The 16,348-nt window shown below is 49.5% G+C and overlaps 1 protein-coding gene across 1 annotated transcript in view, besides 2 other annotated features; it reads right to left on the minus strand.

Annotated features, from left to right (window-relative positions):
* The window catches only part of DCHS1 (dachsous cadherin-related 1), a 34,480-nt gene that overhangs the window by 13,245 nt on the left and 4,887 nt on the right, over window positions 1-16,348 (minus strand). Inside the window, exon 2 of the mRNA NM_003737.4 lies at window positions 5,243-7,159. Within this exon, the coding sequence (NP_003728.1) occupies window positions 5,243-7,039 (1,797 nt within the window). The 5' untranslated portion in view covers window positions 7,040-7,159. The remainder of the gene's footprint in view (window positions 1-5,242; window positions 7,160-16,348) is intronic.
* Window positions 6,756-7,325: an enhancer, noted in NCBI's record as "H3K4me1 hESC enhancer chr11:6662561-6663130 (GRCh37/hg19 assembly coordinates)". NCBI's record gives its function as "activates a minimal SCP1, AML or CMV promoter by ChIP-STARR-seq in naive H9 embryonic stem cells {active_cell/tissue: H9 hESC(naive)}" and the evidence as "EXISTENCE:reporter gene assay evidence [ECO:0000049][PMID:30033119]".
* Window positions 12,582-13,082: an enhancer, noted in NCBI's record as "H3K4me1 hESC enhancer chr11:6668387-6668887 (GRCh37/hg19 assembly coordinates)". NCBI's record gives its function as "activates a minimal SCP1, AML or CMV promoter by ChIP-STARR-seq in primed H9 embryonic stem cells {active_cell/tissue: H9 hESC(primed)}" and the evidence as "EXISTENCE:reporter gene assay evidence [ECO:0000049][PMID:30033119]".

Consider the following 16,348-nt stretch of genomic DNA (forward strand, 5'->3'; position numbering starts at 1 on the left):
ATATACATTGTTCATTCATTAACATTGAACTCACAGCCAACAGCACTGTAACTCATGCCTGAATAAAGCTTATCTAACATATGTATTTTCTCCATACAACACATCACAGCCTTCTTGTACTGAGGAACATTAGACCACACTTCAGCACTACACTTGGGGACCATTTAAACAGTGAAATCATCAGCTTTTTGCACTAAAAAAATGAAAAAAAAAAGTTGCAGTAAATAGACCTGAAAGGGACATTTGTTTACAAGCATGAGAGCCCAAATGAGAAGGCAGAACATCGTCTTGTTCACCCTGTGCTGGGAATGTGAACATTAGGTAACTCAAATTTTTCATCTCTCTGCCCATGTCCAGGAATGCTAGTATTGATTTTGGAGTTACAAATAAATTTTCGAGATTAAGTGAATTCACAAATAATGAGGACCAACTGTACTTAGAAAGAAGAAAGGGCTGTGACCTCAAATTCCAGGTGGGTCCAGGAAGTTAATACCCTCACCAAGTCTCATAATCACCCCAAACCAAGAACTCACCGACAGTGGAATTATTGAGACTGATTTATAGGTTTGATCTTTATTGAGTTTGATTATTACAGAGTGGGATCTGATTAATACTGGGATCTGATCACTATAGGGTCTGTTCTATAGATTTATGGGTGTGTGGCTCATGCATCGTTAGCCTAGTACAGTGCAAGGTACATAGTAGGTGCTTTATGTGTATTTTTTCACCGAGTAAATCGACGGTCTGATCATCCTGCTTTGTAACAAAACCTTCTTTCACACTAAGTTTTATACATTGGGTACACATTAGGCCCTCAATAGTGGGTTAGCTGGTGCTGACAACTGTAGCCTGTGACAAAGCGCTCTTTGTGGATATAAGGACCTCAGGGTCAGGATATGCTGCAAGAGGAAGCTGGAGAGTTCCCCTTTCTCAGCCAGAAAATGTGCTTAGAGAGAAAGCTGGCCAAGGACTTCTGATTGTGGCCCAGACCCTTGACAGAAATGATCTGTGCCATTGTTTACCCTCCTGAGAGACACCAAGACCCTGCCATGGCTGAACCCTGGAAACAGCTTCTGCTCCAACTCTCTACTGTGGCTGTGGGCCCGGATATCCCAGGAGACAGACTTCCCCTACATCAATCCTGGCAGGCAGCAGCACAGCTGCGGCACCATCTCCAGAAGCTGTTAACGACCTTTGCCCTCTGACTCGCTGCAGGAAGAAAGCAATAAACAGTGGTCTGGGGAAGTTGTCAGGAAGTGACCCCAAAAGGCACAGGGGCCACTGACTGGAAATGAGCAAGGCAGAAGTGAATTTCCTGGCCTGTACAACCCCTGCTCAGAGGTTTCACTGCAAATACAGTCTCCATTTTCAGCAGATTCTCAGCTCAGCGTCTCAGTCCGACCTTGGTCGGCTCCCTCTCCCATTCTGCCCCAAAGCCATAATAAACTTCATCCCTCTTCTCTTGCCCCCATCCCATCCCTTGCTCTCATCAGATGCACTATTTCAAGGAGAAAAGAAAGACACTTATCTGTGAACTCTCTAAACTTCTTACTAGCCTCGAAACTTACTCCATATGCCTATCCCAACCTCTTTTCCAGGTGTACCTCCTGCTTTGACTTTTCAAAACATAAATTATTTATTTATTTAATTTATTTTTGAGACAGGCTCTCTGTTGCCCAGTCTGGGGTGCAGTGGTGTGATCCTAGCTCACTGCAACTTCGAACTCCTGGGCTCAAGCAATCCTCCTGCCTTAGCCTCCGGAACAACTAGGACTACAGGCGTGCACCACCATGCCTGGCTAGTTTTTTTATTTTTTGCATAGACAGTGTTTCACTATGTTGCCCAGGCTGGTCTCAAACTCCTGGCCTCAACCAGTCCTTCCACCTTGGCCTCCCAAAGTGCCGAGATTACAGGCGTGAACCACTGTGCCTGGCCTTTATTTATTTTTTAAGACAGGCTCTCACTATGTTGTCCAGGCTGGTTTGGAACTCTTGGGCTCAAGTAATCCTCCTGCCTCAGCCTCCCGAGTAGCTTGGATTACAGGGATGCATCACCATGCCCATCTCTCCTGCTATGACTTCTTGATGCTACTTTTCCTGCTTCTCCACCCACTGCTTCCCCCACCACCCACTGCCAGTCTTCCTCCATCTCCCCTTATCTGCCTGTTCTTACACACTGTTCCCTGGAATCTCTCCTTGGCCTCTTCTCACTCCACACATTCTCTCAGGGCCTTGCCTTTTACTTCAGCCATCGTCTATACTTTCACTCTAGACCACTCCTCTGAGATTTCCCAACTTTTACATCCAGATGGCTGCTCAGCACCTCCACCTGGATGTCCCACAGGCACCCTAAATCCGACCAGCCCAAAACTAAACTCATGATCATTCCAAACCTGCTCTAATGACTCTTCCATCCACACAGTTGCTAAAGCCAGAAATCAGTTCTTCCCTTTTCTCACCTGGTATATCAATCAACCAGGGATTAAGTAAGTCCTCATTAACTCTATTTGTCTGTTCCTTTCCATCACCATTATCACCATTCTGACTTAGGCCTGAGCTGTCCTGAGTTATTGCTCCCCTGCATTATTTTGATTACCTTCTCATAGAGGTCTGACCCTCTGATCTGTACTCTCCACCAGGGTTTCTCAAATTGGCACTACTGACATTTTGGACCAGATAATGCTTTATTATGGGAGCTGCTAAGTGCCTTGCAGGATGGTTAGCAGCATTCTCAGCCTCTACCCACTAGATGCCAATAGTCTCCCACCCATTGTGACAATCAGAAATTTCTCTAGATATTGCTAATATCCCTTCTGGGGGGCAAAGTCACCCCTGGTTATGAACCACTGCTCTACATTGACTACCATTTGCATAAACAAATCTGATAATATTGCTATAGAAAAAAGCTCAAACCCTCTGACTTGGCTGAGCCTCCCTGCAGTCTCATCTCCCACCTTCCCATCTCCAGTCTTAACTCCAGAGATCCTGAGCCCCTAGTAGGCCCTTGAACAAACTGGGCCCTCCCACACCTCTGTGCACCTCACCTCTGCTTGGAAGCCTTCCCCCATCTGATACTCTCATAAATTGCTCATTCTTTAAGTCTCAACTCAGGGATCCCTTCCTTCAGGAAAGCACTCATACTGCCTATCTGTACCTCATATATATCCCCAAATGGAAATGTTCTTATTGGAATGAAACTATTTCTTTGCACATGAATCTCCCCTCTATAAACTCCTTAAGATGAGGGGAGTGACGCATTCATGACTGTATTCCGTGTCTCTAATACAGTGACTAGCACATGGTAGACATTCAATACATGTATATTGAATAAATCAAACATTAAGACTTCTTGTGACAGTTGTAAACCCCAAATGGTCATTTTTACCCCGATTCTCTATGGTTACTAATAGTAAAAACTCCAGGAAACCACCTGGAGAGTTGCCCTCTTGCTTCAGGCACTAGTGAGGAGAGAAGTCTGGAAGCCATAGCCCATTGGTCCTGGACAAGAAGGAGAGTAAACACGTGGAAGAGTGGGTGGTGGAGCTGCACAGCAGCAGGCGAGCAAATATGCAGAGTCTGGCCAGAGGACAAGAGGTCAGCCAGGCCCAGAGCTAGCCTGGAAGTCTATGCCCTGAGGAGATGTTCAAGAGTCTGGTGGAGTTTGGAGACATAAGGACACTAAGCACCAGCCTCCTAAGAGGACTCCCTGCCCACTGTCCTCTCTCCTGCTGCCATTCTCCACAGTGCAGCCAAAGCAATCTTTCTTAAAGACATATCAGATTTGCTTAGAGTCCTTCACTTGCTCCCTATGATTTTCAAGATAAAGTTGAATTTGTGACCTGGCTCCTGTCTACTGTCTTTTCTCATCTCCCCCGACTCTTTCTCATTAGTACAGCTGATGCCAGCCTGAACAATACAGTCTCCTGAACACGTCCTGGTATTTGTTCAGCAGCTCTTTCCTTAGGCCTGGAGTCTCCATCTGCACACCTCATATTATCCATTTGGCAAAGTTTCATTAGTTCTTCAAGGCCCCTCCTCTGGGCTTCCACAGCACTCATACGCCACCTGCTGCAGCACTAGTTGCTGATGTGTCTCCCTATCTAGACTGTGACCACCCTGGGAACAGGATTGTCTCTTTTCTTTGTTCTCTGGGCCTAGCACAGTGCTAGGCTTACAGTAGTTAAATAAAATCTTGAACATATGAATCAAGGAACGATCTGTCACACACCTGCTGATCCAATCACCCTTAAAGCCAGATAGCTAACTTAATAAAACCCAACCTGATCATTCACTTCCCAGCTCAAAGAAATTCAGTGATCTCCTCGAGGGCAGATCAAGACCATCCTGGCTAACACAGTGAAACCCCGTCTCTATTAAAAATACAAAAAATTAGCTGGGTGTGGTGGAGGTGCCTGTAGTCCCAGCTACTTGGGAGGCTGAGGCAGGAGAATGGCGTGAACCCAGGAGGCAGACTTGCAGTGAGCCCAGATCATGCCACCGCACTCCAGCCTGGGCAACAGAGCGAGACTCCGCCTCAAAAAAAAAAAAAAGAAGTTCAGTGAGCTCCTTTGCTTCCCAAGTAGTCCTAACTACTGCTTTGTGTTCAAGGACTTCTGCAACCTGGCCTCAGAGTGCCTTTCCAGTTTCATGTTCCCTCCATTTCTCCAGGACTGACTTGCAGCCAGTATGTGTCTTTCTCAGCCTGTCCAGGGTTCCTGCCTCTTCCCCTGAGAGGCCTTCCTGCTCTGGATATTGAGATAATTCTTGCTATCTCTCATTCTCATGTCTGAGACCAAATGGCCTATTAAGGCTCAGCTCTGAGGGCAGGGATGAGGATTTCTTCCAGCACAACCCAGCACTTGACAAGCAATGGAGGGCCCCATAAATTCTGGTGTCTTCTTTGGGGAACAGAAGCCACATACGTATGTAGAATCTCCATCTCTGCCCTGCAGAACAGCTTTGAGGCTTTCATTTCCTGACACCACAAATCATTTCTCCACTAGATCCAATCTTAATTTCCTCACCTGCCAAGACCATCTGCCTCAGCTCTTGCACCCTGCTTTCTCATCTTCTCATTAACCCTCATCCTCTGCACAGATTTTGGAGCTTACAACATAGGGCAGAACCCTCTAGCATAAGTCACCATCAACAGATGACCTTGTAAGGCTTGGTTCCTGCTCTGAGGTCCCCTGTGGCTCTCAGATTCCCCCAACACTATCTTGCTATGTGCCAGGCCTACCCACCTGCAGGAAGCAAGTTCCAGGCTGGGTGCCCTCAGGCAGTGAGGCATTGTAGAAAGTCCTCTGGAATTGGGGCTCATTATCATTCACATCTTGCAGGGCCACGCTAACTGTGGCAGAGGAGGCTAGAGGGGGCAGGCCACCATCTGTGGCCACCACAATCAGCTGTGGCTGAGGTTCCAACTCATAGTCCAGTGAGGCAGCCGTAGTGATAATGCCTGAGGTGGGGTCAATGGAGAACCAGTGGGTGTGGGCGCCAGGGGCTAGGCTATAAGTGACCTGACCATTGGTGCCTTGGTCAGGATCCCGAGCAGTCACCCGCACTACAAAGCTGCCAGGCAGCGCAACCTCAGGCAGGGGCTCAGGTCGGTAGAGCTGGCGGTCAAAGGCAGGTGCATTGTCGTTGACATCAGTGACGTGCAGCACAAAGGCAGCCTCAGCCCGCAGTGGAGGTGAGCCTGAGTCTGTGGCTGTAACCCTCAAGTTATAGGCATCCCTCTCCTCTCGATCCAGCCGCCGAGCCACACACACCAGATAGATGACGCTGTCTTGGGTGCTTAGGGCAAAGTGGCCCTCTCCACCTTCCAGGGACACATTGACATGGGCAAAGTCACCATCATCTGGGTCTGACACAGAGATGCGAGCAACGAGCTGTCCAGGTGGGGCGGCCTCAGACACTTGGGGGGAGCCATCTGCACTGAGAAAGATGACAGTCATGGAGGGCTGATTGTCATTGGCATCTCGCACATGCACAGTCACAAAGGCCGAGCCCAGCTCAGGGTGAGCCCCACCATCTCGTGCTTGCACCACCAGTTCATGGACCCGCCGCTGCTCAAAGTCCAGTGGCCGCTCTAACTGCAGCAGCCCCGTGTGTGCGTCGATGGAGAAGGGTCCATCACCCTCGCTCTGCCTCCGGTTGATCTCGTAAGTCACAGCCCCATTGACACCAGCATCGGCATCAGATGCGAACACCTGCAAGACAGGACTGCCAGGGGCCAGGCTCTCAGACACCACAGCATGGTAGCGGCTCTGATTGAAAGCCGGGGCATGGTCATTGATGTCCAGCAGTGTCACGTCCAGCAGGGCCTGGGCCCTCCGGGGGGGTGAACCACCATCATAGGCCTCCAGCTGTAGCATATAGTGTGAGCGGTTCTCTCGGTCCAGTTCCCCAGTAACTACCAGCTCAGGTACTGGAGTCCCATCTGGACCGGGGCGTGTCTCCAGCCGGAAGGTCTCTCCAGCCCCATCACCAGATAGCGCATAGCCCTGGGTTCCCAGACGCCCAGCATCTGCATCACGAGCAGGCTCCAGTGGGTAGCGGGTGCCAAAAGCTGTATGCTCAGGTACCTGCAGGGCAGCCCGAGCCTGTGGGAAGGCTGGAGCATGGTCGTTGATGTCAGCCACTCGCACTGTAACTTCTACGGTGGCACCATCAGGAGTGACTGCAGTGAAGCGGTAGCGGTCCCGCTGCTCACGGTCCAAGACACGGGCTGTACGGACGACCCCACTGTGTTCGTCAATGGCCAGGTCTGTGCCCACGCCGCTGCCCTCTTGGGCAGAGATGAAGTACATGAGAGGAGCTGCCGTGCCTGCCGGAAGCCCCGCACTGATGTCGCCAATCAGTGTACCCGCTGGCTGCTCCTCATCAATCTGCAAGTCCAGGCTCCCAGCCTGACCCCAGGCACCTGGCACCCCAGCCCCCAGCAGCAGCAGCAGCAGCAGCAGCAATGGTAGCAGGAGGTGGGGCCTGGGGCTCTTCATGCCAGGGCAGGAAGGCACAATGCCCAGCTCCTTCTGCATGACAAGGGTAGTCCAGCTGTGCCTTGGGCTCCAGCTCCAGGCCAGGCTCTGGGCCCAGCTTGACCTCAGACTTTGGGTCAGGTCCCACTGGGGCCCTGGCTCCAGCTCAGGCTCCCTGACCTGGGAGAAAACAGAAGGAAACGGGTCATGACAGAGGAGGGATCAGCAGTCCAGATAACCTGGACGAGGCCACATCAACATTCAGATATGCTCAGCCCCCAGCAGGCCCTTGTGCTGCCTCACACTCATCTTGGGCCACACGGATCTCTGCCTCAGGACTCTTCGAGGCCACTCCAGCCTTCCCCTTGGCAGATCTCATCCTTTCCTACCCTCAGCAGATTTTTATGCATCCTATTTTTTCGGGTCTGAATGCCCACAAACTCCCTTCTTCCTATTTCTAGGCTTAAAAATATGGACATTCTTTTCTCATTTTCTTCTCATCCAGAACTAATACTCGCTTCTTCCAGCCTCTATAACCATGTATTTGGTAACTTTTCCTGAACCGTCAACCTTTTCCTCTCTCCTGGAGCTTTCCATCAATACTACATATGCTCAAGTCTCTCTCTCTCTCCCCACCCACCACCCTGCTGGAAGGGAATGATGTTGTTTCCTTAGCTCTACTTCCCTACTCCTCTCTCCATTCAACAAGAGATTGAGCACCTACAATATAGAGGCACTGAGGATACCACAGCGAATAAAGGAAATGGTCTCTGGCTTCATAGAGCTTATAGTCCAGGAGTTGAACAAGTAATTACAAGTATGGTAAGAGTTGTGAAGAAGGCGTACAAAGAGCAAGGAGGAATATAAGAGAAGCAACACAGGCAGGGAGTCAGGGAGTCCGTGTTTTGCCTAGGAAGTGACATTAAAGTTGACATCTAAATAACTAGGTGCTAGCTAGGCAATGGTGGCCAGAGAAGGGGGATACAGAAAGGAGAAAAGGACATTCTAGAAGAGTGAACAGTATGTGGAAAGGCTTAGAGCCTACAGTCAAGGTGGGGCTCAGAGTGTCTGAGGGTGGGGTGGGGTGGGGGGGGCATGTGTGTGAAGCATAGTGCTAGGGGCAGAGGGTATGAAATGAGACAGGGACTTGTAAGCTGTATTGAAGATTTTGACATTATCCTAAAGGCAAATGGAAGCCACTAAAGCACTTCAAGGAGGAGTGCCAGAATATGACCTATATTTTGTGAAGATGGCTATTGCAGTCCTTTGGAAAGCAAAGATCACGCAGATTGGACAGTGAGGAGGCACTTATGGGCATCCAGGAGATGACACTGCTTTGATGGTAACTTGGGTGAGTGTAAGCAATGAACATGGCGAGAAGTGGATAGGTCTCTGGTGGGGTTCAGGAAGTAGAGAGGCCGGGCTTGCTGACTGTTTGAAGTGAGGGGAAGAAGGATTGGGAGAAGTCAAGGATGATGCGCACATTTCTGACCTGAACTACCAGCTGGATAAAGGTGTCCTTAACCGCTCAGAAAGAAAAAGAGGCGGGGCAAGGAACCAGAGAGGGGTGGTGCCTCTGAGTCTAAGGGAGGTTTCAAATGATGCTTAAGATCAGGAAGGAAATGCCCCGGAGCCCCTTACTCTAGTGACTAAGAAGAATCTGTGGATAAGTGAGAGCACAGACTGAAGATGGGATGTAGTCACCAGAGGAAAGAGGGACATTCAGAAGCTATCGCCCTTTCTGAAAGATTTTTTCATTTCCCCCATTTTCTCACTTCTCACACTCTCCTCCCTCTACGCAGTGAGGCTTCCTTTCTTGTGACATTGCTTTCACTAAGCTTCCAAACATCTCCATGTTCTATGTTGGCGGCCACCTGTTTATCTTCCTTTTATCGGGTTATTCTGGAACTCTGAAACACTGATCACTGGCTCCTTGAAATCTCTTCTCCTCGGTTTCACACTGTGACCCCCACCTCTTATTTCCATCATGCTTCCCTGCCCACTCCTCTGTCTCCTTTGCAAGTTCTTTTTCCTCTGCCCACTCCTTCACAATTGGTGCTTTTCGGGGTTCAGTCCTGGGCAGTGTCTTTTCCCACTCTCCATACTCTGCCTGCGTGATCTTATCCACTCCCATGCCTTCAGTTCAAAGGTATCAATCATTTTTTATGTGCCATCTATTTGCTAATGACTTTCCAATCTCCAGCTCCAGCTCTGAAGACCTCTGGAGACACATGTCCAGCCATATACTGGGCTTCAGTATCCCCAGTCATCACCTCAAACTGCTTCCCCTCCATTCCTTTTCCTGTGAATAGGGCCACCATCCATCCAGGTGTCCAACTAGCAATCCAGAAGCTCTCCTTGTGTCCTTGCTTATCCTCAGTCCTGATTTCCAATTAGTCATGTAAACCCCACCACTTCAACTAGACATGTCTCAGGTCTTTCTTGTTTCTCCAAATTGCCACATCCCAGTCCGAACATCTCTCCTTGTGATTCCTGCAACAGCTCCTCACTGGTCTTCCACTTACTGGCTTGGACCTTCTGATCCATCTCCACCTGACTGGAGATACCTACACAACTCTCACCAAACCACTCCTGATGAAAGGTTTCCACTGGTTCCCATAACTGACAGCAGAAAACAAATGCCCCTCTACGGAAAGAAAGGCAACCACACAAACTTATGTCTATAGCATCAAGAGGTTCATGGACACTAACTAGGTATAGAACTTCTGATCTACAAGATAAAGTCCTTAACATGTCTTCATGATCTGAGCCCTGCCAACTTCTCCATGGTCCCTCACCTTTACTTCCCCCACCATACCTTGCACTCCAACATGAAATCTATTACCATGCTCCTTCCTAACTCCTCACCTTGTATTTGCTACTGTTTTGTCATGAGATAACCTCTAAAAATCCTCTCCACAAAATCACTCCCTCCTGCCTGTGCAGAGCCTATTATACACACTACTGGGCTCTCATTACTTTTGGTAAACACTGACAATAAATTGCACAGCAGCCTCGATTTGTTCATGTGTCTGCCCTCTGCACTGGATTGGAGACTCCTTGAGGGCAGTGACAGGTCTTGGTTAGCCTCTTGATTCTCCAGCATTTAGTAGAGTTATAGCAAGAGCAGGCAGCCCGTGCTAAATGAATGGTCAGAGCCTCATGCTTCCACACCACCATACTCACGTAACACACTCAGAGAGACACATCCATGGTCATGCCAACTGAGACAACACACACAAACACATGTGAGCCCAGGACCCTGAGGCCCCTCGGTCAGTCCTGTGACTACACAAACCTGTTCTCAGGTCTTTACAGATTTGCTGTGCTGTAGGACTTCCTTTCCACAGAGAGAGGTGGGTTTCTGACTCCCCTACTTACACTTCTGACCCACCTCCTCTCTCCCATCTGTGTGAAGCAACAAAAAGAGCAGGGGCTTTGGAGCTTGGACTGGGTTTGAGCCCCAGGCTGCGCATTATGTCCGTAATCTGTAAAATGGCTATGCTGACACCTATCCTGTGGGGTTTTGTGAAAATTAGAAACAATGTAAGAAAGGAACACAGAGCTGGGTATTTGCTAGACTCTCTTTCATTAATTCCCAGCACCATCCCCTGATAGGCCCCCTCTCTGCCTTCATCCCAGCTTCAGAATGCTGGGGTTGTATGTGTGCCACATGGAATAACAGGTCAGAGGGATTCAGAACAAGGAGGTCAGGGTGAACCCAGGCCTGATCTGAAGAAGGGAGAGGATGAGAGTACAAGGATGGTTCCAGGGCCCAGATCAGGGATCTAAGCCCAAAGGCTGGGCTAGGGGTCAAGGGGTAAGAATGGCTCTATTGATTTAATCAGTTAGTGGAGAGAAAGCAGTCATGGTTTGGAGGGAGGGAAGATAATAGTGAGGCCAATGTGCTTATCATACTCTGTATTATAGTTACCTGTCTTCCTACCCAGACAAGTAGCTGTTTGTGAGCCCAGACTGTATTTTCTTCATCTTTGTATGTAGCATGGAGCACAGCATATAGTACATGATAAACACGTTTTCTGAATGAAGCAATCTATGAATGGTTTGAGATAAATCTCAGGTGAATGATCAGACTTCAAGAGGAGAGACTCATGTCCAGGCAGATGCCCTGTGTGAAAACAACTCCTTCTCTCAACCTGTGCTCCTACCACTGCAAACTCTTGCAGAACACTTTCACGGTGGACACGCAAAGGTGCACACTCACAAAGTCACAGCCCCATGCACTGCCTGGCACTCTCTCTCATGCTGTCAGGCTTACGAAGATGCATTCCCATGCAGGCAGATGCACATGCACACAGGTACATTCAACACATGCTCATACACACGTGCGCAGAGGCTTGCTTTAACATACACAGCCAGTGCACACACACAGAGACCCTTTCACATATATACACAGAAGCACATTTTCCACACAGATGAGCCTATTCCTTCACATGGAACCCACCCCCACACGTATGCAGGCATACATACACACACACAGAAAGACACTTTCTCATGGCCCTCACACCAAGAGGCATGTTCACACCCTCTGATATGCCCCCACATACACACACACACCCACCCTCCACACACACCCACCCTCCACACACACAGGCCCAGTGTCACGTATGCACAGACTGACAAGGCGAGCATGCACTCACACTTGAAGACCCACCCACACGCAGGCATGCTCTCGCACATGCTGCCGGGGCACTCGTGGTCAGCTCTGCGGCTGCAGCTGTGACCTCCAGGTCCCTGGGGCCTCTGTCTGGACTGTGCCTCATCACTTCCTGCTGCAAGCCTTCCAGTTCCAAACTCGAACTCCAGACTCTCTCCCGAGACCGTCTCATGCTCGCTCCAGCTCTCCCCTGCACCATCTCCCCAAGTCCGTCCAGTGTTTCTCACTCCTCTTCCCTGAGATTGGCTCCTCCTCCCTGCTCTTGTATCTTTCCCCATCCAGGTCTGTCCCATCCCTTCCCCAGATCTGGCCTGCCCCTCCATCTTGTCTCTTTCCCCAGCATATGCTGCCTCCTGCCTAGATCTGTCTTCTTCCTTCTTCCAAATCTGTCATGGCTCTTCTCCCACCTGATTCTGCCTTGCTACGTGCCCTCACTCTGTCCCCGGTCCTGCTACTTGGTCCTCTGACTCCATCCTGCTCTCCTCCTCCATCCCCACATCTGGGCCTCTGGAACCACAGCTGGTTCTCATTAGGAGGGGGAGGGGCAAGACTGTTCATTGGGGCCTGAAACGTGATGTCAATTCCCCCTCCCTCACCAACAGAGCTTCCCTCACACCCCCAGCCTGTGTGTCTACAGGACCTGGAAGCAGGGGGAACATGGGAGAGGAAAGAGAGGTGGGCTGGGGGGGAGGAGCAGGGGGACTACAAGGGAAGGGGGTGCTCCAGGAGGAAGTAGAGGAGTGGCCCGAGGCGCTGAAGGGGAAACAGGCTGGGGGAGCTGGCACCACCCAGGCCTCCTCCCTCAACTTCCTGTCCCAGGGCCAGCGAGGGGCAGAAAGACAACAGGGGTGAGGAGGGGCGCCACAAAAGGTAGATGGGCTAGAAGTGGAGGAAGAAGAGGGTAGCCTCAGTGAGCAAAGGGGTGAGGATACAGGGCCAGGCATAAAAGAAAGAGGAAGTGAGAAGAGGTTCTGGTAGGGGGATGACAGGGAACAAGACTGAGGGAGAGTGACTGTGTATGGCAGAGGAAAGAGGGAGCAGAGCTAATTCAGAAAGGGGAGGTGAGTTGAGGCAGGAACAGCCACAGCCCCACCGGTGCGTGCTGGGCCAGAGCTGGAAGAAGGAGGAGGGGGCTCAGGAGGGAGGAGGAGACAGCTAACAAACTAGCTTCCCTGGATATCCCTGGGACAGCCCCATAGGACAGTGGCCAGAGCAGTGCCCGGGCCTGGCTCTGTCCCTCCTGAGGACTGGTTCCCAGGAAGCACTCCAGGGAGAAGCTGAGGACAGATGTGAGCAAAAGAGGCAGAGGAAAAGTCTATTTTCTGAGCTTTTATGGTGCGCTGGGCCCTGTGCCAAGCAGCTCACAGACAGTATCTCATTTAATCACCATAACAACCCTGTGAGGAAGGAATCCCGGCTTCCATTTTCAAACAAGGAAATTGAGACTCAGAGTGAAACAATTTTCCTGAGTTAACACAGCCTTAATTTGGTCGCAGGACTATGTAGTCTATGTTGCCTGAGATTCAGGGAGGAGAGAAAGATGGAGAGAATAAGAAATTACAGGGAAGTTGAGGGGACAGAGTCCTCACAGGGCAAGGGAGGCCTGAAAAAGGAAGAGAATCTGGAGGAGAGAGGTGAAGAATGAGGCCTCTGGGAGAGTCCAGGTTAGCAGCGGTGAGGCTGAGGATACAGACATGAAAGATGTGAGGAGGTGAAGGTAAGAAGACTTGGTCACTGACTCTCCAGGAAGATGAGGGAGTGGAAGGACTCTAGACTTCGGCCTGCCTACCAGGGTTCTGGCCAGGTTACTAAAGTGGTTCCATTTGGACACTGCAGAGGAAAAGCCATTTTGGGGGGTGACTGTTGGGATCCCCATGTGAAGATATTCAAGCACAGCTGGGTTTGCAAGCCTGCAGCTTAGCATAGAGACCAGGGTTGGAGATGTGGATTTGGACAAATCATGGGGTAACTGAAAGCTGTGGCCTTAGAGACTCCATCAGATAGAATGTGTAGAGTGAGCAGAGAGTCTTGGACAGAACCCTGAGAACTAGTTACATTAAGCAGTAGGTTGAAGAGACCTTTATTCTTCCTGGGGGCAGTATCACAGAAGTTAAGGGAGAAAACATTTCAAAAAAGAAAGGGATCGATAATGTCCAATGCTGCTGAGAATTCAAGTAAGATAAGGGCTGAGAAGTGGACACTAAATTTAGCAGTGAGGAGGTCTCTAGTGATCGTGGAGAAAATTGTGCCAGAAGAGTACTAAGGGTGCAAGCCTCTTGCAGTGGGAAATGAGAAAGAATGGATCAACCAATAGCTAGCCATAGAGCAGACATCAGCATGGATTCATTCACCAATACATGCTTACTACACCCCTAGAATAGGGAGACAATATATCATAGCAAGGCAGGACAGGATAGTGGTTAAGATGCAGACTCCAGGGCCAAGCCAGCTGGATTTGGTTCCCAGTTTCACTTACTGGCTGTGTGACCTTGGGCAAGCCACTTAGTTTCTCAGTGCTTCCATTTCCTCATTTATAAATAAGGACAATAATAATACCTACTACATTGTATTTGGCTGTTAGAGTAGTGTCTGGCACATAGTAAGCTTTATAAGTATGTGAGCATGAGATATTATTATAGTGGTTAAGAAGGCAGGCTCGACTGTCAGGCTGGAGTTCAAATCCTGACTCGGCCACTTAAGCATGAGTCTAGGCAAGTTACTAAACATTCTAAGTGTTAGTTTCCTCTTAAACCTCTGGGGTTTAAAGTGCTTACCTTAAATGGTTGATATGAGAGTTAATGAAATAATGCTAACAATAAACATAGCACAATGTCCAGCACACAGTGAACGCTCACTAAATGTTAGCTGCTGCTGTTGTGTGCCACACACACACAGTAACTCTGCAGTAAGTGTTATTTCACAGATGAGGAAACTGAGGGCTCAAAGAAGGTAGCAGAGAGACATTTAGAATGATCTAGAATGCAGTCCTGACAGACTCCAAAGCTAGTGCTTTCTGTTAGACCACACTGCTTGCCTGCTGGAGGGCTCGGGATGCTCTGATAAAAGCTCATATAACTGGTCAGGCAGCAAAGCAGGGAAGGAGAATGATCAAAGTTCTGTTTTAGGAGAATACATCTGGCAGTGTGTGCAGGGTGGGTGAGAGGAGGAGGAGCTCAATGTTGAGACAATTGTCAGTCCAGGTGAGCATGGGGGCAGGTGGTAAGAGAGGGGAAGGAACATGGAGGATGACTGGAGGCCTCCAGGAGACAAAGAAAAAATGGAGAGGGGAGAGGAGGTCGTAGGGTACACATGTGAAGTGATTCATTGATAAATCTGTTATTCAACAAATACTTGTTGAAGACTTACCATGTGCCAAATGCCATACTAAGCCCTAGAGATAGAGGTGACGTGGACAGATCAAGTCCTTTCCTTCATGATGTTCACAGGTAGGGAGACTCGGCAGGGACGGGCAGGGCAGGGTGAGGGAGCTGGGGCACGGGGTAGTGACATGCAGCAAGGGTTGCCCTAAATTCTGACCCTGACAATCAGGGTCTAGGCTGTAGAAGAGGCCAGCAAGGCCAGAGCTAGCAGAAAAGTTGGAGATGTAGCAACCAGAATGTTGAAGGAGAAGAACAAATTTGGAAAAGTGGGAAGCTGAGGGTAGGACAGCATAGTAGAGGGGCTGAGATGGTAGAAGTAAAATTAACTAAGTTAATAGCTGAACACTTAATAATTTTCCTTCTGAATCCCCAAAACAACTCTCTTAAGGAGATACTGCTACCTCCATTTTCACCTGATGAAAGGGGAGCTCAAAGAAGCTAAGTCATCCAGGCCATAAATAGTGTGTCTGGAAAGTCTAAAGTGTGGCTCCCTCTCCCCTCTTTCTTCTCTTTCTTCCTTTCCTTCTTTCTCTCTCACCATCCATATAAGAGGTGTGTTCTAGGCTCTGAGAGATAACAAGCTTCTTCTATCCAGTAGCTTAGAAAGAGAAAAAAATAACAAGGACACTGCAGCATACTAAGTGAGCAGAGAAGGGCTTGGAAGTTCCAGGTGGACCTCCTGGAGGAGGTGCCCTTTCACCAGGAGACACAGGGAAATGGAAGCCCCTCCCAAGTGGCAGTGGTTGAAAGTGGCCTGGTGTCAGAAGGTTACCTAGGGAAGATGGATACAGGAGCTGAAGGAAGGGGGGTCAGCAGGAAGCTGGGAAGAAGCTAGGAGACAATAGCATGAACCCCTGGGAGGGGCTTTTCCTAGCAGATACCAGGGCATCAGAGAAGAGAGAGTCCAGTCTTGCCTCTGTTACCACTGACAGGCAGGAGAGGGAAGAAGAAAAGAGTACAAGAATCAAGGAACCTAATATGGGGAGGACTGAGGCCAGGATGCCAGGAGTTGGAGGGCTCAGGGTGGGTGAGTCCGTGGGCTAAGAGGGCATTAAAGGAAGGAGCAGCCTAGGACACCTCTGGGGAAAGAATCTGGTGAGGCACTGTAATGCCTTGTAGTCTGGCACAGCTTCTGCTTCTTCCATCCCTTCCCAGAGCCCCAGTAGACACCTGGCTCAATGGATTTGGGTCTGCAAACTTCTGGTACTTCTTAAATATTTGCTAACTGAATGAAAGATAAAGTACAGATAAGGGAGAGGAAGAGGATCGAGGGAGACGAAGGAAGAATAAATTGTAGGTGAGGGGAGTGGA

Source organism: Homo sapiens, chromosome 11 (assembly GCF_000001405.40).
Source record: "Homo sapiens chromosome 11, GRCh38.p14 Primary Assembly".
In the NCBI taxonomy this organism is placed as follows: domain Eukaryota; kingdom Metazoa; phylum Chordata; class Mammalia; order Primates; family Hominidae; genus Homo; species Homo sapiens.